General features: G+C 36.2%; 1 protein-coding gene across 24 annotated transcripts in view, besides 2 other annotated features; it reads left to right on the top strand.

Annotated features, from left to right (window-relative positions):
• The window catches only part of NCALD (neurocalcin delta), a 438,366-nt gene that overhangs the window by 313,968 nt on the left and 97,433 nt on the right, over positions 1-26,965 (top strand). For 5 of the 24 annotated variants that reach the window (NM_032041.3, XM_047422313.1, XM_047422308.1 and 2 more), the window contains exon 1: positions 19,971-20,078. The exons of 17 other annotated variants lie outside the window; for them this stretch is intronic. The gene's annotated coding sequence lies outside the window, so the exon portion shown is untranslated. Of the gene's footprint in view, positions 1-6,963; positions 7,242-19,970; positions 20,079-21,910; positions 22,162-24,887; positions 25,086-26,965 lie in introns of those variants that run through there. 2 more of the 24 variants (XM_047422309.1, XM_047422314.1) reach the window with 2 other exon arrangements.
• Positions 22,815-23,361: an enhancer, noted in NCBI's record as "OCT4-NANOG hESC enhancer chr8:102799807-102800353 (GRCh37/hg19 assembly coordinates)". NCBI's record gives its function as "activates a minimal SCP1, AML or CMV promoter by ChIP-STARR-seq in naive H9 embryonic stem cells {active_cell/tissue: H9 hESC(naive)}" and the evidence as "EXISTENCE:reporter gene assay evidence [ECO:0000049][PMID:30033119]".
• Positions 23,362-23,908: an enhancer, noted in NCBI's record as "OCT4-NANOG hESC enhancer chr8:102799260-102799806 (GRCh37/hg19 assembly coordinates)". NCBI's record gives its function as "activates a minimal SCP1, AML or CMV promoter by ChIP-STARR-seq in naive H9 embryonic stem cells {active_cell/tissue: H9 hESC(naive)}" and the evidence as "EXISTENCE:reporter gene assay evidence [ECO:0000049][PMID:30033119]".

Genomic DNA, 26,965 nt, shown 5'->3' with positions numbered 1-26,965 from the left:
GAGCGGATAGTTATGCTTTAAATGTCCTAATTAATTATTTTTCTGCATTAGGATTTTTATATATTTGATTTTATTAAAGCAAGATTCACCTCTATTACAGTGTTAGAACATTGATTTATATAAATCTGTGTAAGGGTTATGATAGAAAAGCTTTTGCATTAAAAAAAGAAATAGGCATTAGCAGCTCTTGGAGTATGTGGTGTGTGCTTTTTTAGGGAAAGCTTTTTTAGAAGAGATGCTAATATCAGCAAAGTAATAAACTAATGTCCTATTTCCTCTCTCTTGTAAAAAAATGAATTTAATAGGCTAAATATTATCCTAGGCTGTGGTTTATACTGTCATCAGATGCTACTAAATGGAAATTTGGGCTATGAAAATATAAATATAAATTCATAATTCTCCTGATGTTAAGAACTGTTTTAATTTACTGACTAAGGAATTGAGTGGAAGCAGAAAAATCACATTTCTAGCAGATCCATTTTTTAGAAAGCATAACTTAGGGTAAACTGGACCTTAAATAGCACATTTCTTAATTATTCTCCTTAATTATAGAGAGTAGCTCTTTCAGTCTAACTGTACGAGATACACTGCTAAATTTGAACATTACTCCTTATAACCACCGTGCAAGGTAGTTACAAATATTGCCAACTTACAGACAATACAATCAAGGCATAAAGGGGTTAAGTAAATTGTCCTAAAGTCACAGAGATAAAAAGTCATATTTGGGGAGTCCATGTTTAATTCAGAGTGTGCCTGACTTCAAAGTTTATACTCTCTCTATTATAACACAGCAAGAGTCCTTGGTGCCAACATTTTGCACAGAAACTCAACAAAATGTGTGACTTTAAGCTGGAGATCAATTTTAGAATTGCTTCTCTGTTCTTGTTTATAGGCGTTGCACTGTCAACACAGGCACCACATGGAAAGAATCTACATTTATCACTCTGCTCAGCCCTACTTCCTCATTCTTTGGAACAGAGAGAAATAGAATTTGTGATGATTCATAAAAGTCAGATTTATAAATGTACAGTAGTGTCAGCCTGACAGCAAAGAGAGATTCATGGTCTTGAAACAATCTTTAAAAAAAAGAGAGCAGGCCAAGTGCGGTGGTTCACACCTGTAATCCCAGCACTTTGGGAGGCTGAGGCAGGCAGATCACTTGAGATCAGGAGTTCAAGACCAGTCTGGCCAACATGGTGAAACCCCGTCTCTATTAAAAATACAAAAATTAGCTGGGTGTGGTGGCGCATGCCTGTTATCCCAGCTACAGGAGGCTGAGGCAGGAGAATCACTGCAACCCGGGGGATGAAGTTTGCAGTGAACTGAGATCATGCCACTGCACTCCAGCCTGCACAACAGAGTGAGACTCTGTCTCAAATAAATAAATAGAAATTAAAAAAGAGCAAAAACACAGATTCTATTATAACATTTGTGCTAATTGTACTGGATGCTGTTGATGGAAAAATAATATTTTGTAACTTTCCTTTTATATGGGAGATTAAATATAAAGAGGTGATTTGTGGACCATTTTCTTAGAAAACAAAATCCTTAGTTTCCTGTGAGAAACTCTTTCTCTCTGAGAAAAGAATTATTTACCTCATTCAAACTGCAAAAAGGCAGGCAGGCAGGGTGAAAGAAGAGGCCATTTTTACTCCTGTAGTGATTTTGATGTCTCTTTTCTTCTTTTTCTTAGACATCAATCCATATGACTCTTCCATGTCCAGGAAGACTTTAAACAGTCTTTGCATGAACATTACCAAATATTAAAGTTTACTAATTTAATACTCAGAGAAATAAAGAGCTGTTTTCCAGTATTTCTTCTGCAATGCTTTTAGAACGCACTTCTATTTTCTTCTTTAGGGACTCCTGGAAATTTTATAACATTCCACAGCTTATTAAACATGTGATATTTCACTTGCACAAGATGTTTTTGATGGTGGACATGCTAACAGTTGGGAATAGGTTTGGCATGTAATAGTGGTATCTTAAATAAAATGGAAATCTCCCTCTTTATGTCTCTCCCTCTCTCTCTCTGTCTCTCTCCCTCTCTCTCTTTCATGTAAAAGTCCATAGAAAAGCAATGTAGCCTTGAAATGGCAGCTTTTCTCCAAGAAGTCTTCAGGAACCTAAGCTTCTTCCAGCTTACAGCCCCGCCATCCATCTTTAGGGTGTACAGCCCACTTCCTTATGGTCTACAGTGGTAGTCACCATACTCATGGTCCCAAGCAGTAGAATGGTAAAAGGAATTAACATAAAAAGGGGGCAAAAGTCTTAGACAAGTTTGTTTGCCTATTTGTTTTTAAGGAAAATTCTGGAAGCTACCACATGACATATCTATTTACATCCCATTGGCCTGTTCTTAATCATAAAGCCACAGAGCTAGAAGGGGAGTTAGGAAATGTCTTTATTCTTTGCAGCTATTAACAAGCTAAAGATTCTATATCTATGGAAGAAAGAGAAAATGGATATTAGAGGACAATTAGCAACTGCTGCCACAGATGTAATAGCCGCTCCTTGAGATCTCTGAAGGGCAGCCATGTGAACATAGTATCAAAGAGAAAAACTTAAATCTTATAGTAAAGTTTTAGGGAGGAGACATTTGGTTCATCATAAGGAACCTTCTAACAGTTAGAGTAGTTCCACAATTGTAAGACCTGACATTTTGTAATGGAGAGCTCACTGTTACTGGAAAGTATTCAAGCAGCAGGTGCTTACTACTCCTTAGTGACAGTCTAGAGGGGATTTCTTCACTGAAAGGTAGTTAGGACTGGGTGACCACTAAGGTATCTTCTAGAGCCTGTGAAATCTGTTATTTCTTAACAGCTGTAAGATCTGTAATTATGTTCCCTTTTTATTACAGATATTGGTAATTTGAGACTTCTCTTTTTTTCTTGATCACTCTTCTAAGGAGTTATTACTTTTATTAATTTGTTCAAAGTACCAACTTCTATCTTCTCATTTTTCTCTATTATACCTTGTTTTCCATTCCATAGTTTCTTCTCATTTTATTATTTCCTTCTTTCTACTTTCTTTAGTTTTATGATGCTCTTCTTTTCCCAACTATGAGATAGAAATTTAAATCATGGATTATCAGCCATTTTAAAAATTAAATGCTTTTATTAATTCAGGGTCAAAGAAAATAGAATTGTGAAAGTGCTATGTAAATTATAAAGCACAATGCAAGGGTGCTATTTTTACCAGTATTTCAGTAACTTTGCTGTAACCCTTTATGACTGCAAGTGATGGTGATTTGGAAGATTTTTGTGTCTGCTTCTAACAGTTTGTATGTGCCTTTCAGATGTTGGTTTTGCTTTCTTGAGCACCTTGGCTTTATTCTACTTTGCTATGTCTATTGGGTTGTAAAACCAGATAACCCTATTAATAAGGTGTTGAATTAGTATCAAAATTCTTTGGCTTTTTGATCCTGGGCAAATGATTTAATTTTTCTGGTCTATGTTTCTGCATCTTTTCTGGTTCTCTGTTTATACCTGTGGATTCAAATTACCATATGGTGTTATTTTCTTACTCTAATACAGCTTTGCTCTTCCCCCTTTTCCTTTGTGCTGTTGTTGTTGAATATTTTACAACAATATTTTACAATTCTGTACTTTACAACTCCAATATACAATTATATATATAGTTTTATACAATTGCTTTTTTAATGAGCCAAGAGAAGAAAGAAGAAGAAATATGCATTTGTGACATCTTTTATAATTACACAATTACCTTTTCTGATACTCTTTTTATCCGAGGTCACTTGCTTTAAGCATGAAGAACTTCCATTAGTATTTCTTGTGAAGTAGATCTACTATCAATGTATTTGGTCTGTTTTCGTTTATCTAGTAATATCTTTATTTTTGCCTTCATTTTTGAAAGATAGTTTTGCTGGATATAGGCTTCTTGGTTGACAGCTGTCTTCTTTCAGCACTTTAAATATGTAATCCCACTGGCTTCTGGCCTCCATTGTTTCTGCTAAGTCAGTTGTTAATCTTATTAAGGTTTCCTTACATGTAATGAGCCATTTTTCTCTTGCTGCTTTCAATTTTTTTTTTTTGTCTTTGTCTTTCAGCATTTTAACTATGATATGTCTGGGTGTGGATCTATTTGTGTTTATCCTGTTTGGAGTTCATTAGCTTCTTTAATGTGTACATTAATGCTTTTATTTAAATTGGGAATTGTGTGCATAGGTGCATGTGTTTTATACACATATTGATGTCCAATAATTCTCTGAGGCTGTCTCTGTTCATTTTCTTCATTCTTTTTCTTTCTGCTCTTCAGATTGCATGTTCTCTACCAAACTATTTTCAGCCTCACTCATTCTTTTTTCCACCCATTTAAATCTACTATCATTTCTCTGTAGTGAAATTTTCATTTCAGTTATTCTACTTTTAAACTCTGGCATTTCCAGTTGGTTTTTTAATATAATTTCTATCTCTTTATTGATATTCTCTATTTGATGAGGCATTGTCATTGTAGCCTCTTTTACTTCATAAAGTATGATTTTCTTTAGTTCTTTTAACATATTTATAATAGCTGCTTTGAAATCTTTCTAAAATACATCTAAATCATCTCACAGATAGTTTCTTTCTCTGCTTTTTTTCCCGTGTATGAGTTACATTTTCCTTTTTCTTTGGATGTCTCATGACTTTTCATTAAAAGCTGGACCTTTAAGGTAATATAGTATAGGAATTTGGGATTCTGATTCTTCTCTCTTCTCTGGAGTTTCTGTTGCTGTTTGCTTGGGGGTTTTTTGTTGTTGTTTTTAATGACTTGATTAAACTATTTTAGTGAGGTCTATTTTCCCTACACTGCAAAGCCTTCACTATTTATTTTCAGAGGGCACAGCCTTGGGCATACTCACATCACCCTGGAATGACTGGTTTTGGTAGAGCTATATTTGGCCGTCTCTTTCCCAGTCTCTCTGTTATATGGTCTGCTTCATTTGATATCACACCCAGCTGTTAGGCTCCACTAATTTTTTGCTGATTTTTCTAGTATTTCTTAAATGCTCTTGGGCATAAATTATTTAAGTCTGATCCAATTAAATTCATCCAGTGAAGTTCTGGCGGTTGATATTTGAGGCTTGTTCTCATCCCAGGAATGATGTTTTTAGCTATCTCCTTTCCTAGTTCTCTTTGATAAACTAGCTGGTCTGCAGGTTAGCTTTTGCTCTTCTATAGTTATCCACCTCCTCTCAATTGTTTACCATCAAAATCTCCATTGTTTTTGAGAGCACCCTTAAACTTGAACTTTTACACACTCTATTACAAATAAAGTCAGCTCCTTTGGGGGAGAGCTTCAGAGCTCTCTGTTCTTATGGACGGCCTCTCCATCTGGGAAAAATTTCTGAATAACTGCTTTAGGCATGAGGCAGTGATAGTAGACTCTAGTCTTCTCAAATTGCCTTCCCTGGCATAGAACCTCTACTCTAAAAGCAAGCTGCATTGAGGGCAATACGAGCCCTGGTATTTTTGATCTGCTGTGCTTAGAGTAGAGTCTCTGCCTTATGAATGGAGGATAGATAGAACAAGGGAGTCTCCAACCTCTTGGGTGCACTCACTAACCTTAGAGCTGAAGAAAGGCTGGTGTCCTACCTTTCCAAGGAGATAATTATATTCCTTGACTGAGAGCTAATGGGAAAAGGAGGCCAGACTTATTGGCCACATCTTCTCAAGGGAGGAGCTTTTATCAAACTGAGCTGAGGGTTAAGGAGGAACTGGATCTTAATTCAAGTGCTCCAGATCCTCAGTGTTCTTTCAGAGTTTTAGTATATTTTCTTGAATGAATGTTTCTGCATTGTCTATATGCCCTTAGAAGGATTATTAGGGACTTTATATATATGATTTTAAAAAGTATTTTCACAAGTTATACTTAAGTCATTGGGGAACAGGTCCATGGAGCTTTTCAAAGTGCCACTTCAAAAGTAGAACCTCAGTTTTAACATAAACATATATATGCCGAGTCATTAAGTAGTGTTGCATGTAAGTTTTGATATATTTTTGTCATTCAGTTCAAAATGTTTATAGGTTGCAGTGTACAGGCATTTCTCAGAGGTATTGCAGGTTTGATTCCAGCCCACTGCAATAAAGTGAAAGTGAACATTGCAATAAAGTGAGTCACACAAATGTTTTGGTTTCTCGGTACATATAAAAGTTATGTTTATACTATACAGTAATCTATTAAGTGTGAAATGGCATTATGTTTTTAAAAGCATTATATTTTATTATAATTATTTATATATAATTAGGTATTAATTTATTAATTATATTATATGATAATTATATTATACTAATATATAATAGTTAATTATATTAATTATATATTATATAATTAATTATATTAATTATATATTATATAATTAATTATATTAATTATATATTATATAATCAATTATATTAATTATATATTATATAATCTTTGTTATATATTATATAATTAATTATATTAATTATATATTATATAATAATCTTTGTTATATATTATATAATTAATTATATCAATTATATATTACAGTTATAAATAGTATATATTTAGAAATATATATATTTCTATATATAGTAACATATAATATATAATTGATATAATTATATATAATATATAATTGATATAATTATATATAATATATAATTGATATAATTATATATAATAGTTATAAATAGTATATATTTAGAGATAATGCATTTTTATAGGTTATTGGAATATAAAATATTATTTTCTAAAATTGCTAATTTTTAGAAAATAATTTTTCTAAAAATGCTAATAATGCATTTTCACAAATTACTGTGATATAAAAAATTATTTTCTAAAAATTACTAATGATCGTCTGAGCCTTCAGCAAGTTCTAATCTTTTTGCTGGTGGAGTGTCTTGCCCCAGTATTGATGGCTGCTGACTGATCAGGCTGGCGATTGCTGAAGGTTGGGGTGGCTATGGCTATTTCTTAAAATAAGACAACAGTGAAGTTTACCACATCGGTTGGCTCTTCCTTTCATCATGGATTTTGCTGTAGCATGCAGTGCTGTTTGATGGCATTTACCCATAGTAGAAAATTGGAATCAATCCTCTCAAACCTTACTGCTGCTTTGTCAACATACTTTATGTAATATTCTGAATCTTTTATTGTCATTCAACAACATTCACAGCATCTTCACCAGAAGTAGATTCCATCTCAAGAAACCACTTTCATCTGCAGTTACTTCCTCCACTGAAGTCTTCAACCCCTATAGGAAGTCATCCATGAAGGTTAGACTCAACTTCTCCCAAACTCCTGTTAATATTGATATTTTGGCCTCCTCCCATGAATCATGAATCTTCTTAATGTTATCTAGAATAATTACTCTTATCCAGAAGGTTTTCAATTTACTTTGCCCAGATCCATCAGAGGAATCACTATTTATATACTTTAAGAGCTATGGTCTTATGAAATGCACTTCTTAAATAATAAGACTTGAAGGTTGAAATTACTTCTTGATCCATGGGCTGCAGAATGGATGTTGTGTTACCAGGCATCAAAACAACATTAATCTCCTTGTATATCTTCATCAGAGCTCTTGAGTGACCAGGTGCATTGTCAATTACCAGTAATATTTTGAAAGGGATCTTTTTTTCTGAGCAGTAGGTCTCAACAATGGGCTTAACATAGTAACCCATGCTGTAAACAGATGTACTGTGATCCAGGCTTTGTTGTTCCATTTATGGAGCACAGGCAGAGTAGACTTAGCATAATTCTTAAGAGCCCTACAATTTTTTGGAATGGTAAATGAGCACTGACTTCAAGTTAAAGTTACCACTTGCATTAGCTCCTAACAAAGAGTCAGCCTGTTTTTTAAAGCCTTGAAGCCAGCCATTGACTTCTCTCTAGCTATGAAAGTTCTAGATGGCATCTTCTTCCAATCAGAGGCGATTTCATCCACATTGAAAATCTGTTTTGAAGTATAGTCACCTTCATCAATGATCTTAGCTAGATCTTCTGCATAACTTGCTGCAGCTTCTCCATCAGCACTTGCTGCTTCATGTTGCATTTTTTTTTTTTTTTTTTTTTGAGCAGCAGCAAGATTTATTGCAAAGAACGAAAGAACAAAGCTTCCACAGCGTGGAAGGGGACCCGAGCGGGTTGCCCTCATCTTGCACTTTTATGTTATGGAGATGGCTTCTTTCCTTAAACTTCATGAACCTTTGCTAGATTCAAAGTTTTATTCTGCATTTTCTTTACCTCTCTCAGCCTTTATAGAATTGAAGAGAGTTAGGGACTGGCTTAAGAACAGACTTTGGCTTAAGGAAATGTTGTGGCTAATTTGATCTTCTCTCCAGGCTACTAAAACTTTCTACATATGAACATAAAGCTGTTTTGCTTTTTTTTTTTAATCATTCGTGTGTTCACTGTAGTAGCATTTTAAATTTCCTTCACGATCTTTTTCTTTGCAGTATAGTTGGCTGTTTGGCACAAGAGGCTTAGTTTTCAGCCTGTCTTGGCTTTCAACACGCTTTTCTCACTAAGTCTAATCATTTCTAGCTTTTAAGTTAAAGTGAGAGACATGCAACTCTTCCTTTCACTTGAACTCTTAGAGGCCATTGTGGGATTATTAATTTAACGTTGTATCTCGGGGAATAGGGAAGCTCCAGGGGAGGGCGAGAGATGAGGGAAGGCCAATCAATGGAGCAGTCAGAACACACACATCTATCAATTAAGTTTTTCATATTTTATGGGCATGGTTTGTGGTGCCCCAAAGCAATTACAAAAGTAACGTCAAAGATTACTGATTACTGATTACTGATCACCATAACAGATGAAAAATGTTTAAAAACATTGCAAGAATTACCCAGATGTGACACAGAGACATGATTTGAGCTCATGCTGTTGGAGAAACAGCACGGCTAGCCTTGCTTGATGCAGGGTTGCCACAAACGTTCAGTTTGTAAAGATCACAGTATGTGTGAAGCACAGTAAAGCAAAGCACAATAAGAGGAAGTATGCTGGCCGGGCGCGGTGGTTCACGCCTGTAATCCCAGCACTTTGGGAGGCCGAGGCGGGCGGATCACGAGGTCAGGAGATGGAGACCATCCTGGCTAACAGGGTGAAACCCCGTCTCTACTAAAAATACAAAAAATTAGCTGGGCATGGTGGCGGGCACCTGTAGTCCCAGCTACTTGGGAGGCTGAGGCAGGAGAATGGCGTGAACCCGGGAGGCGGAGCTTGCAGTGAGCCGAGATAGTGCCACTGCACTCCAGCCTGGGCGACAGAGGGAGATTCCGTCTCAAAAAAAAAAAAAAAAAAAAAAAAAAAAAAAAAAAAAAAAAGTAAGTGTGCTTGTAAATCATAGAGATGTGGCTTTAACCCATGGACAACTGAGAAATGCATTGCTTAATTTCCATTCAGGGATTTTCTATTTGTCTTTCTAATATTGATTCCTAGCTTTAATCCACTGTTTGCAAAGAGTATTCTCTGTGATTTCAGTCATTTATAATGTGTCAAGACCTTACTTGTGGCCCAGCATGTAGCCAATTTTGGTGAATACATTTGAAAAAAAAATGTGTATTTTGCAATTTTTGAGGTCACCGTTTTTCAAATATTGACTAATATATTAATTAGGTCAAATTGGTTAATTTTGTAATTTAAATCTATATTTCTACTTTTTTCTGCTGGTTGTGTAAGTTACCAAGAAAGATGTTTTAAATTAAGACTTTGATTGTGATTTTTAAAATTTATCTTGATGCTATTAAATGTGTACATATTTGGAAAGGTAAATTATGAAGTATTTATATCTTTAGTAGCACTTCTTGCTTATATTTCTATAAAGTACTATAGCTATACTCTTTCTTTCTTTGTTTCTTTCTCTTTCTTTTTCCTCCTTCCTTCCTCTTTCTTTCCCTTTCCCTTTTCCTTTTCCTTTTTCCTTTCCTTTTCTTTCCTTCATCCTTTCCCTTTCCTTCCTTGTTTTCTTTCCTTCCTCTTCTCCCCTCCTTTCCCCTCCCCTCTTCTCCCCTCCCCTCTTCTCCCTTCCTCTCCCCTCCCCTTCTCTCCCCCCTCCCCTTTTTTCCCCCTCCCCTCTCCCCTCCCCTCTCCTTTTTCCTCCTCCCCTCTCCCCTCCCCTCCCCTCCCCACCTCTCCTCTCCTCCACAACCATAGCTCACTGCTGCCTCAACTTCCTGGGTTCAAGTGATCCTCTTGTCTCAGCCTCTAGTAGCTATAAAGTATTATGTATTGATAGTAATATTGCTACACCAGCTTTGTCTTGGTAGAGTTTGTGTGATATATATGTATCTATCTTTTTACTTTTAGCCTTTCTGTACTCTTGATTTCAAAGTGTGTCTCTTGCATACAGCAAAGAGTTAGAATATATCTATTAATACAGTATGATGTTTATTTTCTTTTAATTGCAATATTTGGTCAGTTTATATATTATGGTAATTATTGATATGTTTAAGATTACATCTTTAATCTTACCATTTCTTTCTATTATTATTTATTGCTCTTTTTTCCTCCTTCTTTTGGGAATCAAGTAATTTTTAAAATTATTTTTTCTCCTCTATTAGCTTATTAGCAGTATGTTCTTTAGTTTTTTTGTTTGTTTGTTTATTTTTAGTAGCTACTGCAAGGATTACATTGTACCTAATAAGGGACTATTTGTACTTATACAAGAATGCAAGAGTCCTAGGACACTTTAATTCTATTCCTCTCTTTTACTTTTGTGCTAATAGTCTATATTTGAAATCTACATTTATTTTATATCCCACACAACATTCTAATTTTATAAAATTAGTATTTCTTTAGGTTTATCTATATATTTACCCTTTCTATATGTCTGTGTTTCCATCTGGAATCATTTTTCTTATGCCTAAATGACTCTTGAGAAATTTGGTGTGATTCTGTTGGAATTAATTCTCTCAGTTTTTTACTGAAAATATTTTATCTCACCTTCATTTTAAAAATTCTAATTAAACTTTTATCTTGAAATAAATGTAGATTCACATACAGTTGTAAGAATAATACAGAGAGAACCCATATGCCTTTTACCCATTTTCTTCCAAAGGTAACATCTTGCAAAACTGCAGTGCAAAATTACAATCAGGATATTGATATTGATACAGTCAAGATACAGAAGGTGTCCAGTGCACAAGGGTCCTACTTGCCACCCTTTATAGCCAGCGTACTTTCCTGGCTTCCCTACCTGCTCCTTAACCCCTTGCAACTACTCATCTATTTTTTATTTCGATAATTTTGTCATTTCAAGAATGTTACGGAAGTGGATTCATACAGTGTGTGAACTTTTGAGACTTGTTTTTCTGCTCTGTAAAATTCTCTAGATATTCATGCTGGCTTTTGTATGCATAAGTCGTTCATTCAATTTTAGTACTAAGTAGTATTCCATTGTGTGGATATAGTACAGTTCATTTACTCATTCATCCACCCAAAGCCTCTGGGTGGTTCCCAGTTCTCGGCTGTCACAAAGCTAGCTGCTATAAGCAAGCAGGTTCAGGTTTTTGTGTTAGCGTGTCTTCGTTTCTCTGGAATGTCCAAGTGCAATTGCTGAGTTGCATGATAGTAACTTGTTTAATTTTTCAAAGCAACTGGCAAATTGTTTTTCATAGTATCTTTATTAGTTTACATTCCCACCAGCAATGAATGAATAAGTTTCTCTGCATCCTTGCTGGCATTTGGTAGTGTCACTATTTTTTATTTTAGCTATTCTGATCTCATTATGGTTTTAACTTGAATTTCCCTAATGGTTAATGATGTTGAAAATTTTTTTTTATACTTGTTTGTTATCTGTGTATATTCTTTGATAAAATGTCTCTTCATGTCTTTTGTCTATTCTCTAGTTGGATTGTGTGTTTTACTGTTGAGTTTTGAGAGTTCTTTATATGTCCTAGATATGAGTCCTTTGTCAAATATTTGATTTGCAAATATTTCCCCACCAGCCTGTAGCTTGTCTTTTCATCTTCTTAACAGGTCCTTGTCTATATTATCAATTACTTATTTTGTAGATTATGATTTTGGTGTTGTTCCAGTACCATATGTTGAAAAAAATATTCTTCTTCCATTGAATTGCCTTTGCAGATTTGTCAAAAATCCATTGGTCATATTTATGTGGTGAGCTATTGGGTTCTCCATTCTGTTCCATTGATGTACATGTCTGTCCCTATGCCAGTATCCCACAGTCTTGATCATCGTAGCTATATAATATGTTCTGAAATCAGCTAGACTGATGGCTTCCATTTTATTCCTTTTTTTCAAAGTTATTTCAGCTATTTATTTCCTTTCTTTTTCAAAATAAATTTCAGAATAATTTTATATATATCTGTAACAAATCTTGCTGAGATTTTGATTAGAATTGTGTTAATTCTGTAAATCAGTTAGAGGTTAGTTGATATCTTTGCTATGTTGAATCTTTCAATCTATAAACATGGCATCTGTCTCCATTTATTTGAACCTTCTTTGATTTCTTTCATTGGCATTTTGTAGTTTTCAGAATACAAGTCCTGTACCTGTTTTGTTAGATTTATACTTATTTCATTTGGGTTTGAGCAGTTGTAAATGGCACTGTATTTTAAAATTCAGTCTCTACATGTTCATTACTAGTGTAGAGAAATACAATTGATTTTCAGGTTTATCTTGTATCCTGTGATCTTTTCAAACTCATCTATTAGTTACAGGAAGTTTTGTTTGTTTTGCAGATTCCTTGGGGTTTCCTATATAGATAATCATTTCATCCACAAATGAAACAGTTTTATTTCTTCCTTTCCAAACTGTATGCCTTTAAGTTTTTTCCTTACCTTATTGAAATGGCTAGAACTTTTGGCATGCTGTTGAATCAGTGGTGAGAGTGTACATCCTTACCTGGTTCCTAATCTTAAGGAGAAAATATTTACTCTCACTATTAAGTATAAAATTAGCCGTATACTTTTGGTAGATACTTTTTATCAAGATAAGGACATTCCTCTCACTCATTTTTCTGTGAGTTTTTATCATGAATTGTGTTGAATTTCTTCTAGGACTTTGAAGACATAAAAGATTTTTTTTTATAGTCCCATGGGTCTCAGAAGCTCTGTTTCTTATTTTATTTAATTTATTTTTTGCAGTCTGTAGTCTTCTTGGGAACAGAAGACACTCCTCTTTTTTTTTTTTGAGATGGAGTCTCACTGTATCACCAGGCTGGAGTGCAGTGGCATGATCTCGGCTCACTGCTACCTCTGCCTCCCAGGTTCAAGCGATTCTCCTGCCTCAGCTTCCGGATTAGCTGGGACTACAGGTGCAGGCCACCACACCCAGCTAATTTTTGTATTTTTAGTAAAGACAGTGTTTCACCATGTTGGCCAGGATGGTCTCAATCTCTTGACCTCGTGATCTGCCTGCTTTGGCCACCCAAAGTGCTAGATTACAGGCATGAGCCACCACACTTGGCCTCCACATTCATTTTTAAAGAACATTTTCTCTGTATATATAATAAAAAATTTGCACTTTTTCCTTTTGTCATTTCAAAGTTTATTATTTCATTATCTTCTGGATTTGACAGTTTCTGTTGAAAAGTCTTTTGTTGCTCCTTTAAAGTTAATGTGGTGTTTTTATCTTGCTGTTTTTAAGATTTTTGGCATTGTCTTTAGTTTTTAGCAGGTTGATTATGAGGTTTCTAGGTGTGATTTTCTTTATAGTTATTTATCCTTTTGGCGGTATATAGAACTTTTTAAATTTGTTGTTTTGCGTTGCAAACCCCAAACATTTGAGACAGGTCTCAGTTAATTTAGAAAGTTTATTTTGCCAAGGTTGAGGGCACATGCCCATGACACAGCCTCAGGAAGTCCTGATAACATGTGCCCAAGGACATCAGGGCACAGCCTAGTTTTATAAATTTTAGGGAGACATGAGACATCAATCAATATATGTAAGAAGTACATTGGTTCCATCCAGAAAGGCGGGGATAACTCAAAGTAGGGAGGGGCTTCCAGGTCACAGGTAGGAGAGAGACAAATGGTTGCATTCTTTTGGGTTTTTGATAAGCCTTTCCGAAGGAGGCAATCAGAAAATGCATCTATCTCAGTGAGCAGAGGGATGACTTTGAATAAAATGGGAGACAGGTTTGGCCTGAGCAGTTTCCAGCTTGAATTTTCCTTTCAGCTTCGTGATTTTGGGGGCCCAAGATATTTTCCTTTCACGGTGTCTTTTTGTAAGTTTTGAAAATTTCTTCATTCTCTTCAAATATTGCTTATTCTTTATGCTCCTTTTCTCTCATCTTTCAAATTCACATTAGCCTTTCATCATATTCCAATGTCTCTTACATTTTTCTGTATTTTCTATTCTTCTTATCATGCTTCAGTCTAGATATTGTCTGCTGATCTGTCTCTTTCATTAGTTTTCTTTTTTTGTGTATGTTCTCTGCTCTTAAACCCATCTATTGTACTTTTACCTTCCATTGTATTTTTTAGTGACTTAATTTTAATATTTTCCTTTTTTAAAATTTCATTTTTGCGTGAGGATTCTCCAGTTTGCCATATATTTTCTTGAACATACAAATTAGAGTTATTTTAAAGTCCCTGTCTGATGATTACAGAAAATGAATAACTTGAGTCTACCTATATTGCCTATTTTTTCCTCAGAGATTGTGGTCAGTTAGACCTATTTCCTGGCATGCTTAGTGATTTGGGATTGAATTGAAAATGGTGTATGAAAAATTTTAGAGGTTCTGAAAGATGTCATCTTCCTTTAAAGAGGGTCGATTTTTCTGGAAGGTAGTCAGAAAGGGGGAAAATTATCTTGATCCAATTAGAGAGTGTAATGATTCTAGGGTGGATCCTGGCTTTTGTGAGTCCTCATCTATTTCCTGTTTTTCATTTCTTCTAGGACTTAGCCTTTCAGTTTTGAGATATGAAAACTTAGGTTTACCAGGTTCCAACTCCTTGGAGAATCTGAACTATAATTTTGGTCTCCCTGTCACTACACGACTGCCAAACTCTGCCTTTCTGTTTTAGCCTCTTTGCTGCATTTTGTGCTTCACTTCTTGTCCTCTTGTCTTATGCCGTTTAGGAATTGGGAAATGCTTCAAGGGGAAAACGGTACAGATTGTTGGAATATCTTCTCTGTGATTCCATTTTTTTCTCTCTGTCTACAATCTTAGTCCCTCAAGTCTTGAATGCATTTAAATATTTGTACTCCAATTTTTCTCTCTTCAGCTTCTGAGAATGCTAAAAGCCCCACACCACTTAAGAATCATCCAATAATTTAAGAAGAAAAGCAGTGGGAAATGCAGAGTCTATACCTCAGTGCTTCACTGAATGTTTGTGTCTTCCCCAAATTCATATGTTGAAACCCTAACCCACAAAGTGATGGTGTTAGGAGGTGGGCCTTTTTGGGAGGTTGTTAGATCATAAGGGTAGTGCCCTCATAAATGGGATAAATTTCCTTATAAAAGAGGCCCTAAATAGCTGTCTTCGTCCTGTGTGCCTGTCCTACCATGTGAAGACTCAGCTTGAAGGCGCCATCTAGGAAGCAGGAAATGGGCTCTCACAAGAGACCACATCTGTAGGAGCCTTGATCTTGGACTTCCCAGCCTCCAGAACTATGAGACATACATTTCTGTTGTTTATAAGCTACCTAGTTAATGGTATTTTGTTATAGCAGTCCAAATGGAATAAGACGCTCAATATATTTTCCTTTTATCTGAGACCCTGGCACTTAAAATTTTTGCTGCCTCTGCCACTCTTTGATGTCTTCCAGCCATTAAAAATATATATCTAGCTAGCTATTTTTGTTATTTCAGTGAGAGTATTGGTTTGAACACATGCTACTTCATCATAGTGGGAAACAGAACTCACCCAAGCCTGTGCATTCTAAATATTGCTTCAGCTAAGACTATAATAATTTAGGCATAGTTGTATTCAGGACATTTTCTCTAGTTTACTTTGCCCATTTTCCTTGATTCAAATTTTTCTGACTAGATTATTTTCTTGCCATAGAACTTTGTAGGCCAAAGATAGATTAAGATCTTTAGAGTTCCAAGATGAAGAAAAGACAAGTTGGCCTTCTCCCTTTCACAAAAAATTTAAAAATAAAAACAACCCTACAGTGTAAAACAAACATGAGAAATAATTCAATTTTTTCTAAAAGCATATCAAATGTAAATTATTTCCAAAATTTTACAGAGCTAAGCTTCCTGAGTATAAATCCTGGCTCTGCTATGCAGTAGGTAGGCAAATTACTTCATCTCTCTCTTCAGTTTCTTCAATTGTGAAATATGGAATAGTGCCTGCCTCATAGGATTATTATAGTAAATGATTTAATAAATGTATAGTACTTAGAAAAATGTTCCACATGTAGTAAGCACTCGATGTCAGTTAATGTAAAAATTTTCCAACATCAACAGCAAGAACCGTTAAATACATCCACATATAACTTACATGTACTCATAACAAATATTTATTTATTTATGTATGAGTAGGGTTAAGTTTGATTTACTTGGAGCCATCCAGTTTTAGAAAAGTTTATGATAACTCAACATTTTTGTTCTTTCTTTTTTCTTCTTTTCCTTTTTTTGAGGTTGGGGGTTGGAGAGAGGCTCTCTTCCCTATTAGTAGGAAGAAAAAGGAACCATTTCTTTCTACTCTTCAACATTTATTTCCCAATAGTTGAGTCATTCAACATGGATTGAGGATTCACTGTGTTCTGGGTTGTGTGCTAACTGTAGTGTTGTACAGATGAATAAGATTTCATCCTTTCCCTGAAGATCTTTGTAGGCTTATCAGAGTCAGACAGATAAAGAAGAAATGACATACACACTTGAGCCATCTACCCTGTGGCAAGGTGTCAGAATTTTATAATATATTAACTTTATTATCCTCCAAACAACCTTAAGATGTAGGTACTGCAGCTCAGAGGACTTAAGTAGCTTGCTCAAGGTCCAGCCATAAAAAGATGAAATTTGAACCCAGTAGCTCTAAACAGTAGGTCCAGGCCTGCCCATTAACGTTAAGACAGAGGAGACAGCAACATCCCTATGTACAAACATCGACAAAAGACTGGTTAGAATTGCATGACCCAAACCACCTGTTAGTTCAGGTGTGTGAGCCCAGGTCAGACTGCTTGTTTAGTGGCATTTACCAGTTATTTCTGGCAAAGTGGTCAAACTAATAATAGGCAGCCTTGACATTTTTACAAAGAGTGAAAAATAAGATGCAGAACTATTTTTGAATGGATATTTTTAAATTTGGTGAATCATTTTCACCTTAAAAAATGACTTGTCAATTAGAAAATAAAATGGCACATATTCTCTTCAGTGTAGTGGGCTGTGATTGGAGAAAGCTCTCATGTGTATTTCCTGTGATACTTTCAACTACATTTGGGTTAATTAACCAAATTGGTAGGAATCTGAGCTCTAAAGAGATCACCATCATGCCTTCAACCTCACAGAAGACTGGTAGCTTCCTTCACTCTAAGAGGAAATTCTAAACCTAGGTAGTTTGCAAAGGAAAATGAGTAGGTAGGCAAATTACTTAATCTCTCTCTTCAGTTTCTGGTTGAAGCATGTTGTAGAAAAAAAGGGCTACATGCACCCACTTTTCATTTTGAAGGTCAGTTCACTGCATTTTTTTTTTTTTTTTTTGAGACGGAGTCTCACTCTGTCACCCAGGCTGGAGTGCAGTGGCATGATCTTGGCTCACTGCAACCTCCACCTCCCAGGTTCAAGCGATCCTCCTGCCTCAGCCTCCTGAGTAGCTGGGAATACAGGCATGTGCCACCATGCCTGGCTAATTTTTTGTATTTTTAATAGAGACGGGGTTTCACCGTGTTAGCCAGGATGGTCTTGATCTCCTGACCTTGTGATCCACCGGCCTCAGCCTCCCAAAGTGCTGGTATTACAGGCGTGAGCCACCATGCCCAGCCAGTTCACTGAATATTTTAATAGTTCACTGAATATTTTAATACTGCCCAAGGCAGTATAAAGTATACTTAGTCTTAAAAATGCTAAACCAGTCAAAGTAAAAGTGTTGGTTTTTTGCTAATTTTCAAATTAATCCATTTAAAGTCCTGAATTTTAGGCATTTTTTTTTTTTTTTAGAACTGAGAACTTCTTATTTCAGAAGACATCACCTATTAGCAGAATGTGGCACTGCAGTTTTTCTCTCTTAAATGCTAAAGCTGCATAAAGAGGAGGAAGAATTAATTAGGCAGCTATGGATTAGAGCCAGAGAGATGGTAAATTAAGCAGCTCAGAGAACGTGGGTCCAGGGAAAGCTAGAAGGGTATGTTTCTCTGCCTCTTCCGGTTCCCTCATTTGTATGATGTGCATTTCTGAACATAAAAGCAGAACAATAATTGGAACAAATTGTCAGTTTATGAATTGTGGCTGTTGGTGAAATCTGCCCCTAGTGAGGCTTTAGGTAGACATTGGATTCCATTGTCCTTGTTCAAACAGGTAAATTCCCAGCTGTCATTAATCTGAAATTAAAGGAGGAAAGTTCCTTATAGTTTGATTTCGGTTTTGCAGTGCCACAGCTAATCGCATCAGGAAAATAACTTTTTAAATAAAAATCTATCTTTTCTCCCAATTGGGGCTGGGACAGAAATAAAGGAAGATGAAAAGGAGGATGGAGTAGGACGATTCTATGACCAAGTGATTTGAACATTAGTCTTATTATTAAAGAAGCAATTTCTGATTCTACTAAAGAAATTTCATTCTTTTACAGTGACACAAATGTAATCTGCCTGGCTGACTTAGGTTCCATTTATATTTTGTAGCACCCCAGAGCTACTCTTTTTTATTTATTTATTTATTTTAAGAAACAGAATAGAAGTCGTTATAAGCCTAGCATATAAAGGTCCTTAGGGTTTTGAGGGCAGTCTCTTCTCCCCTGCCTTTTAACTCCTTGTCCTTTGTTTGGGCATACATTTTCTGAATGTCTTTTTCAGAGTACCTTCTTGTGAGTTTCATTGATTTTGTTTAATCGGCTTCCCATTAATTAAGAAAGAGAATTAACTGGGAAATAGGCACGTGTGCAGAGTTAAAAGTAAGCTAGGGTCGTCGTAAAGGAAATAAAGCTGATGTTAGAAAACATGTGAGATAACCCTTTCATTCTATGGCTCTGGGCTTTCATTACACTTTGTGTTTGTGGAACACTGGCCCTGTTTACTCAATGTTGAGTCTCAGCAAAGGGGTGTGGATGAGAGGACTCAAGAGGGGAGCATTTGGCACCCGTATGGCCCCAAAGCACAGTTTTCAGCTTACTCACATGGTTATTTTAAAGTAACACTGTTTTGAAACTCCTTCGGTCCTCATTTTTACCTAGACATTTTACAGTACAGGAATCCTGAATTTATGTTATCTGATGTCTACATCCTACTTGGTGTCAGGATCATTAGACTGTCTTACCTGTCTCTGAGTCATAAGCCACTGTCATGAACCCAAGCCACTGTTTTTTATTTTTCTTTCCATCACAAGCATGGTCTCAGTATATCCATGTAGACTCTGATATAGTTTTTAAAATACATTTTCTTCCAACCCCTCCCCCTGAGCTTCTGTTTTTATATATTTGCTTGCAAATAAGTTTAATTGGCTAAGAAAACTACTCCAGAATTTTTCAGTTTCTTTCCTTTTGTTATAGAGAAAGAGAGAGAGAGAGACATGCTTCATGCTGATGGTAGTGAAACAAATGAGAACTTCAGGGTGGCATATATTTTCCTGCAAGTAACTGTAGAGAAAAGACACCAAAGCCTTAAAGAGGAAAGTTGTAGGCATTCTGGAGTCACAACTTCGGGGGTTGAGGTTGTCAAGGAGCTGTCCGTGATGGTTCTATGGTGTGTGCGTACACACATACTCTCTCTCTCACACACACACACCACAGTGACAGATGACCTATTGAAATAATTTCAGAGCCGGTCTGTGGTTGCTACGACAACCAATGATCTCTTGGCTTTCATCTGGCCATGTGACAGGGACTTTGACGTCAGCTAGAGGCAGAGTCTGTGGCTGAGTCCACACAGTCAAAGGCTTGTGAGAATCTGGTGGATGCTGGACCTTGCTGCTGCTGCTACTGCTGTTTCCAGGGGCTGCAGAGCATGGACTGTTAAATCTTGCACTTCTTCTGAGTGAGGTAATTAGTTTGCTTTATATACAATAGTTAGATGTTTTTATAGCTCATTGTGGTTTTCCCCTCTCTCTTACCTCCTACAAGTTTGTATTCATGAGCAATTATTGTTGTACCAAGGGGAAAATGTGAAGCAGCTTCTAGTTGTGAATTTCAGGCAGGTTCTCTGGAATTTGGTTAAATTTGGATTAATGTTTTGTGAAGTAGGTTAAAATATAATCGTCTTGCTTGCTCAACACTTGCTAACATAACATTATTTAGACATACGGATTTTGCAGCTTGAGCCAAATATTCTCTCTTGAATTCCAGGAATCCTCCCTTCAGTATTGTTTTGGGTTTAAAAACTCCAGCATAGCCTTGCAATGTGTTTCTAACTTTTCTTTTTACAATTGCTACTCAATTCTGAATCAGCCTAAAATAGTTTGGAATTTGGTTTCTATCTTGTTTGCAGCATTCATATTTAGCAACAATAGGAACCACGGGAAATAACATTATAACTGAAACAAAAGTTGGGATTTTGCTTGTAAGTAAAACCTTTGGTATTCTGAAAGTACCAGGAAAAATTGTCAACAGTTTCCTGTTTAGAGAGAAATAATCGGGAATATGCCAAGGAAGTTGGGGTGGAACCTTTTACATGTGTGCATGCAATTGCTTTTTGGTTGTTAGAGCAAAGTGCATATTTCCAGTATCCTCCCCTGAAAATTCAGCTGTGAAGAGAATGGCATGAGGTGGTCTTTACTAAGGAGTCATGTAAGCTGTTGTTATTTTTAAAAATCGTCATAATTACCTAAAGAAAAAAACAATAGCCCTAAAATGAAAAGTATCATTGACACAAGTTCTACTTTAACTCAAACACAGATAGAAGTAGTCACTCACAATTTGCTCTGGATCTTAAATGAATAATTTGATAACTGTGATTAATAAGAATTTTTATCTCTTTATTCCTATAATACTATTTACTACAAATTGTTTTCTTTGTATTGTAGTTCCTTTCCTTCCCAAGTTTAGTAATTTCAGATTTTCTTTCATGACATACAGGTTGAATTGTTTTGGAGCTTCTAATTTAAAGAATACCTGTAGTACTGAAGTTAGCCAAAGTCTAGATTTATAACCAGGTGTCTAAATCTTACAAGTTTAACAGAAAAAGGGGCAAATTTTAGAGCACTACATGTAATACAGCTAGTATTTTAATTAGTAGAAGAAACTGGTTTAACTGTATATATGAATACCATATATTCACAGTGTGTGAATTATATCGTAATTTAGTGCAAGAATATATTGTTTTAATTTTTATGTTCTTTATTAGTTTCAGAATTCTAATAGCATTTATTTTACTCTTGGAGGTGAAAAATTTTGAACAGTATTTAGCTACAGTAATAAGTGAATAACTGTGGGTATATCAATAATTTCTCAGTAGCTTTCAATGAGTGAATATTCATTTAACTTGCTGGCATTTGACATGTCTGTTTTTGGTCAGGGTCTCCGTGGAGGATTTTCCAAAAGTCTAATGTGCTTTCATTCCAGGCACATCTACTGAGACATAATCTCATCACTTAATTGATCTCAAAATTATAATAACCCAGAGGCCATATTCTTAACACCCCTAGAAAAATGATAATTTATATGTAACATTTCAGTTGAGCACAGATAAGACCAGTAGCACCGTCATTTAACAGCACTATCTTTGATGAGGTACACTTTGACATTTACTTCTTTTACTCAAAATGTGGAATTATCATTATAGTTTTTCCAGGTAGCAGAGATTTTCTTGGTGCTGTCTCTATGACATTTTAAATTAAAGTCTTATAATAATTGTATTCAATGCTCTTTCAAAATAGACTATATTTCAGCGGTATGAAATACAAGAGAATAATTCAGCGTTGATGGCAAAATCTCAATGATGAAGTTTATCACTAAAAGAAAACAACCTATGCTGTGAAAGCAGAGATGCTCTAGAATCTACAGGTCTTTTCCTATGGGAAAATAAGAGAAAAAAAGACTGTCATCAGAATCATTTTACAGCATTGAGACTATGTTGATTTCAAGGTCATGTTTGTTGCAGCTTCAAAAGATGCTGGCAAGGAACGAGGTACTCTAGAAACCTGGCTGTTGCATTATTAAATATTTTGTGTATAGTTTCGGACATTCTTAACCCGTTTGGTGCTGTGGACCTCTTTGGCAGCCTGGTGAAGCCTATGTACTTTTCTCAGAATTATGTTTTTACATGCATAAAATAAAGTATGCAGGTTTACAAATCAAACCACTTTCATTCATTGAAAAACGTTAACTAAATTTTACAAAATTGTGATACATGCTTTGTTAGTAACACATTATTACATAATACAAACTAACAGCAGTTATAATAACTACCATAACTACCATAATTTTGAAGTAATGGTGAGCATAAAAGATATTTCAGGATATCTACAACAACTGTAAAATGAGGTGAAAATATCTGTGATTTCTCTTGGCAACAATATCACAGGTGCTGTGGCTTGTGGCCTACATTTTAATTGAAGGAAATACTAAATTTCAGTTTGAGGTTAGTGAAACTAAAGATATAATATTTTTCCCAACCAAGTTCCCCAGGCCCTCTTGAATTTTATCCACCCCTGAGTCAATTGATATGTACGTTAGTGATGCCAAAAGGTGATAGAACTGCACTGGACAAAACCCATCACCCCATTTCCACATTCGGTTCCACCGCATCGGATTTTATTCTTCGAGTGTGTGAATTTTGCAATGTTCTCTAAATTCTGCATGAAAAGGAATAATATGTTCACATAGCTACCAAATTGTAACTTTCTTTTATTTTCCTCCTTGAGATCCATTAACAACAGTCTTATGTCCCCTGGATTGGGAAACCCTTACCTGGTTAGACAGGGGTTAAGAGGAAAACTCATAGTGTTAGTACAAGTTATGCGAGTTAAAACCATGGGCCACAGAAGGTAGTTCATGTGCTCATAGCATTTGAAGCAAGCATTAAAGAATGCATGTGGCTTTCCAGCTTAATGTAAAGCACATACACGTGTGAATTGATCAATTGTCATGTTAATTCCAGATACTCAAGAGAGAGCCCTAAAGGTTTATCTGACAGAGGTCTCTAGGATGAGGCATGTTTGAAATTAAGCTGGAAGTGGAGACACTTCCCAAGTATCTGAATGCAGAACCTTATTTGGCTTATTGGATATTTAAGACCAATACAGGGGGTATTAATAGTATTGTTTAGTGTGACTTATGTAAGTAGTTGTCTCATTCAACATGTTTCTTTAAATGTGCAGAAAATAGTGCCTGATATTCCTCTCCAAACCAACAGCGTAACTTTGCAGTTGGTCAGCTGCCGTCACAGCCCTATATTCAGAATGTCCAAAGTCATCCTTTCTATGACATCAACACCCACTGTCTCCGCGTAAGAGAATGGGAGCTATGACATTTTGCACAAGCTGTTGTTTAAATTCAATCCAAATCCCTCGCATTTGAAATGGAAGCTTAGCAATTTGTCTTCGTGTGTTCTCAAAGGAATTACGAAAGAGATGTTCTCAAACGTTTCTTATTCTTTGGATTAGAAAAGAACACTTGCCTTGGGAGCTTTGAGTCTCTAGCAACTTGATAAAGAAACTTGGAAAAAGTTTAAAATCTCTGACTCCAGGCTGTACTGTTTGCTTCTCAAGCCAGGTGTTTGAAACTTTTCAAAAAGGAATGTGCCATTATTTTTCATAAAATCCACATTTATTTAACTGGTGCTTCATGATGGAAATCTAACTAGAAATAGCATTCCAAAATGTAGTATTTTTTATTGTTTTCAGAAGTGATACCATAAAAGTTAATGTTCACTAAGATTTTGATATAAAAATTATATGATAAATATTGAAATTCACTGGAGCCAAACTAAAAACAGTCTGCCCTTTTTATCTCAGTAGTGAACTTTAGGGGGTTTTTTGCATGTATTTTCATAAGTGCCTTTAAATAAAGACACGGCATCCCTTTAAAATTTAGTTTACATTAATGTAAACCAGAATATTCTCAGGTCACAATGCAGTTTTATATTTGATTTGTAGGAAATAAATCTCTAGCCTGAAAGACATTCCAGCTGTTGCCTGTCTTCATGGGAGGATTGTTCACATTTTCTGAATCTCTCCCAGTGACTGCAGGAAGACCAAAGGCTGCACATTGCTTTTATGCAAGGATGAATTTTTTTAAAAGATGATTTTGGATTTTGTTTGCTTTAATGAATTTAAGCCCTATCTATTAGAGGTAAATGTCAAGAAAACTGTTGTGTTCTTTGGCTATCTGCTCTGCTGACTCCCACAGACTTTGATATGATTCATATAACTCAAACCATGATCAGGTTTGTGACGACCATATTTACAATATCGTTGGAGATCAAAAATAGCATCTCACAAAAGTTTCCCCGTCCTATACCTTCCCACATCTTATCATGGATCATGTGCAGCACAGTCACTCAATTGGCGAACATTTATTAACGGACTACTGCATTCACAGTATTATAGTAGGCATGTGAGGTCCTCCCCTGATGGGATCCTCAAGTGAGATATGCTGCTGGCATAGAGAACCCAAGGGCCTTTATGGACCCTGGCTTTTGTTTGCTTGAGCTTTTATTCAAACATTCAGTCTTTCATGCATTCAGCAAATTTTGAGCACATACTACGTGTCAGGCATTGAGCCAGACCCCAGGGTTGCTATAAGGTACAAGACAGGGCAGGTCCCTTCCATCATGGAATATGCAGTCTAACTATGTAGAGAACTTGCCCAGAGACCTATATGTACTATTAACTGGGGTTCTCTTTCCCACAGCCACACTGGCCACTGCAGTCCAAAAGAGAATTCTAAAAGGAAACAGTACAAAACAGAACATCAAAACAAAACAGACAAACAACCTGGGAACCATTAGGTTTTACACCAGAGTGAAACCCCAGAAGAGACATTCTGCAGCTGGTGAACAGCCGGCCTCATTTGTGAGCAATCTGTTCCCATCAGTGTCAGGGATTCCAGGTCGGTATGCTCAGTCCTATTCCCAGTTGGCCAGAGGCTATTTGTCCTCTAGTTCAGAAGACAAATGAGACTGGTAGGGACCGACCTAGAGAGTATTTTCTTTTATGCAAATACCCTGTTTCATACAAATAATGAAAACCATTGTATTTTATGAAAGGAGTCTTTAAATTAGTGATATTTCCAAAAATATCTCTCCCGTCTTCCCTGTACTAACCCAGTCAGGACAGGGTCACTGCTGTAATAAATAGCCCCCAATCTTAATGGCATAATCCAACACTGTTCATTTTTCACTCACCCAGAAATCAGGATTGGGCGAAGGGCTCTGCTCCACACAGTCCTCCAGGGACTCAGGCTCCTTCTATCTAGTTAAACTGATCAGGGGCCTGTTTCTACCACTTGCTAGTGATACTCTGAGCAAGTTACCTAAATCAGAGTTTTCTTATGTGAATAATATTAGGGCATCCCTCTTGGATTTTTGAGTCAATTTACTTGGCATAGAAACTGACAGGTATTAGGTACTCAATAATGTGAACTGCTGTTATTAATCTTCTACTTCTGGTAGTGCTGCCACCACCATCCCCCGAGGAGGCAGGAAGAATCCGTCAGAATTGGAAGAGTATTATAATAATAGCTAACACTTAGGAAGCTGGATAGTCTTCAAAGTTCTTTTCAAAGTAACTATTTTTTAACAACATTCTAGTTTTATAAATGAGGAAATTGAGGCACAGAGAGCTTAAACAAATTGCTGAGTGTCACACAAGTATACAATAGAGCTCTAGGCATTTGGCTTCAGAGTCCTGGCTCTTTATTCACTATACTATATTGCCTTTCAACTTGGAATATACAGCAGAGCCTCAAATACCGTCATTTCATTCAACATCGTTTTGTTGTAATGTTAATGAGAAAAAATAATTGGTTTTGTTGTCAATGATGTTGTGAGGACTTACTATTATATATTGTATTTTCCCCAGAATTAATGTTATATGTTGTGGCAGATTGTATTCAAAAATAGCCTTACAATTGAATCCATTACCACATTAAAAAAATTTTTTTTTAGAGATGGGTTCTCACTCTGTTGCCCAGGCTGAAGTGCAGTGGTGTAATCATAGCTCACTGTAACCTCAAACCTGGGCTCAAGCAATCATCCCACCTCAGCTGCTTGAGTAGCCAGGACTATAGGCGTATGCCACCATGCCCAGCTAAATTTTTGTTTTTATTTTTATAGACTTGGGGTCTCACTATGTTGCCCAGGCTGGTCTTGAACTCCTGTCCTCAAGAGATCCTCCCACCTTGGCTTCCCAAAGGGCTGAGATTACAGGCATGAGCCACTGCATTACCATATGTTCTTCTAGAATCTTGCTCCTCTCCATCAGGAGGTGAAGTCTATTGCCCCTCCCTTTGAACCTAAATGGGCTTATGATTGGTCCAACTGATAGAGTACAGTGGAAATAATGCTAGGTGACTTCCAAGGATAGATCATAAAAAGAATACAATTTTTTTCTCTCTTGCTATTCTTTTTCTTCTTGACATTTTCCCTTAGAATCCAGTCACCATATTGTAGGAAACCCAGACCACATAGAGAGGCCAAGAGTAGGTATTTCAGCCAACATCTCTTGCTAAAGTCTCAGCCGACATCCAGCATCAACTGGCAGGCATGTGAGTGAGCAAGCTGTCAGATGACTCCAGGCCCGGTCATCAGGTCTTCCTTCCCCCTCCTGATGCCAGGGAATCACAGATGCACTATCCCTGCTGAGCTCTGCCCCAGGTTGCAGTTTCATGGACAAAATAAAAGTTGTTACTGTTTTAAGCCCGTAAGATTTGGGGTGTGGGGGGGTAATTTCTTAGGCAATCAGAGTAACTGGGACATTTGGGTAATTAGA

Source organism: Homo sapiens, chromosome 8 (assembly GCF_000001405.40).
Source record: "Homo sapiens chromosome 8, GRCh38.p14 Primary Assembly".
Classification (NCBI taxonomy): domain Eukaryota; kingdom Metazoa; phylum Chordata; class Mammalia; order Primates; family Hominidae; genus Homo; species Homo sapiens.
The sequence above is the reverse complement of the archived record's forward strand: the minus strand, read 5'-3'. Positions and strand labels throughout refer to the sequence as shown.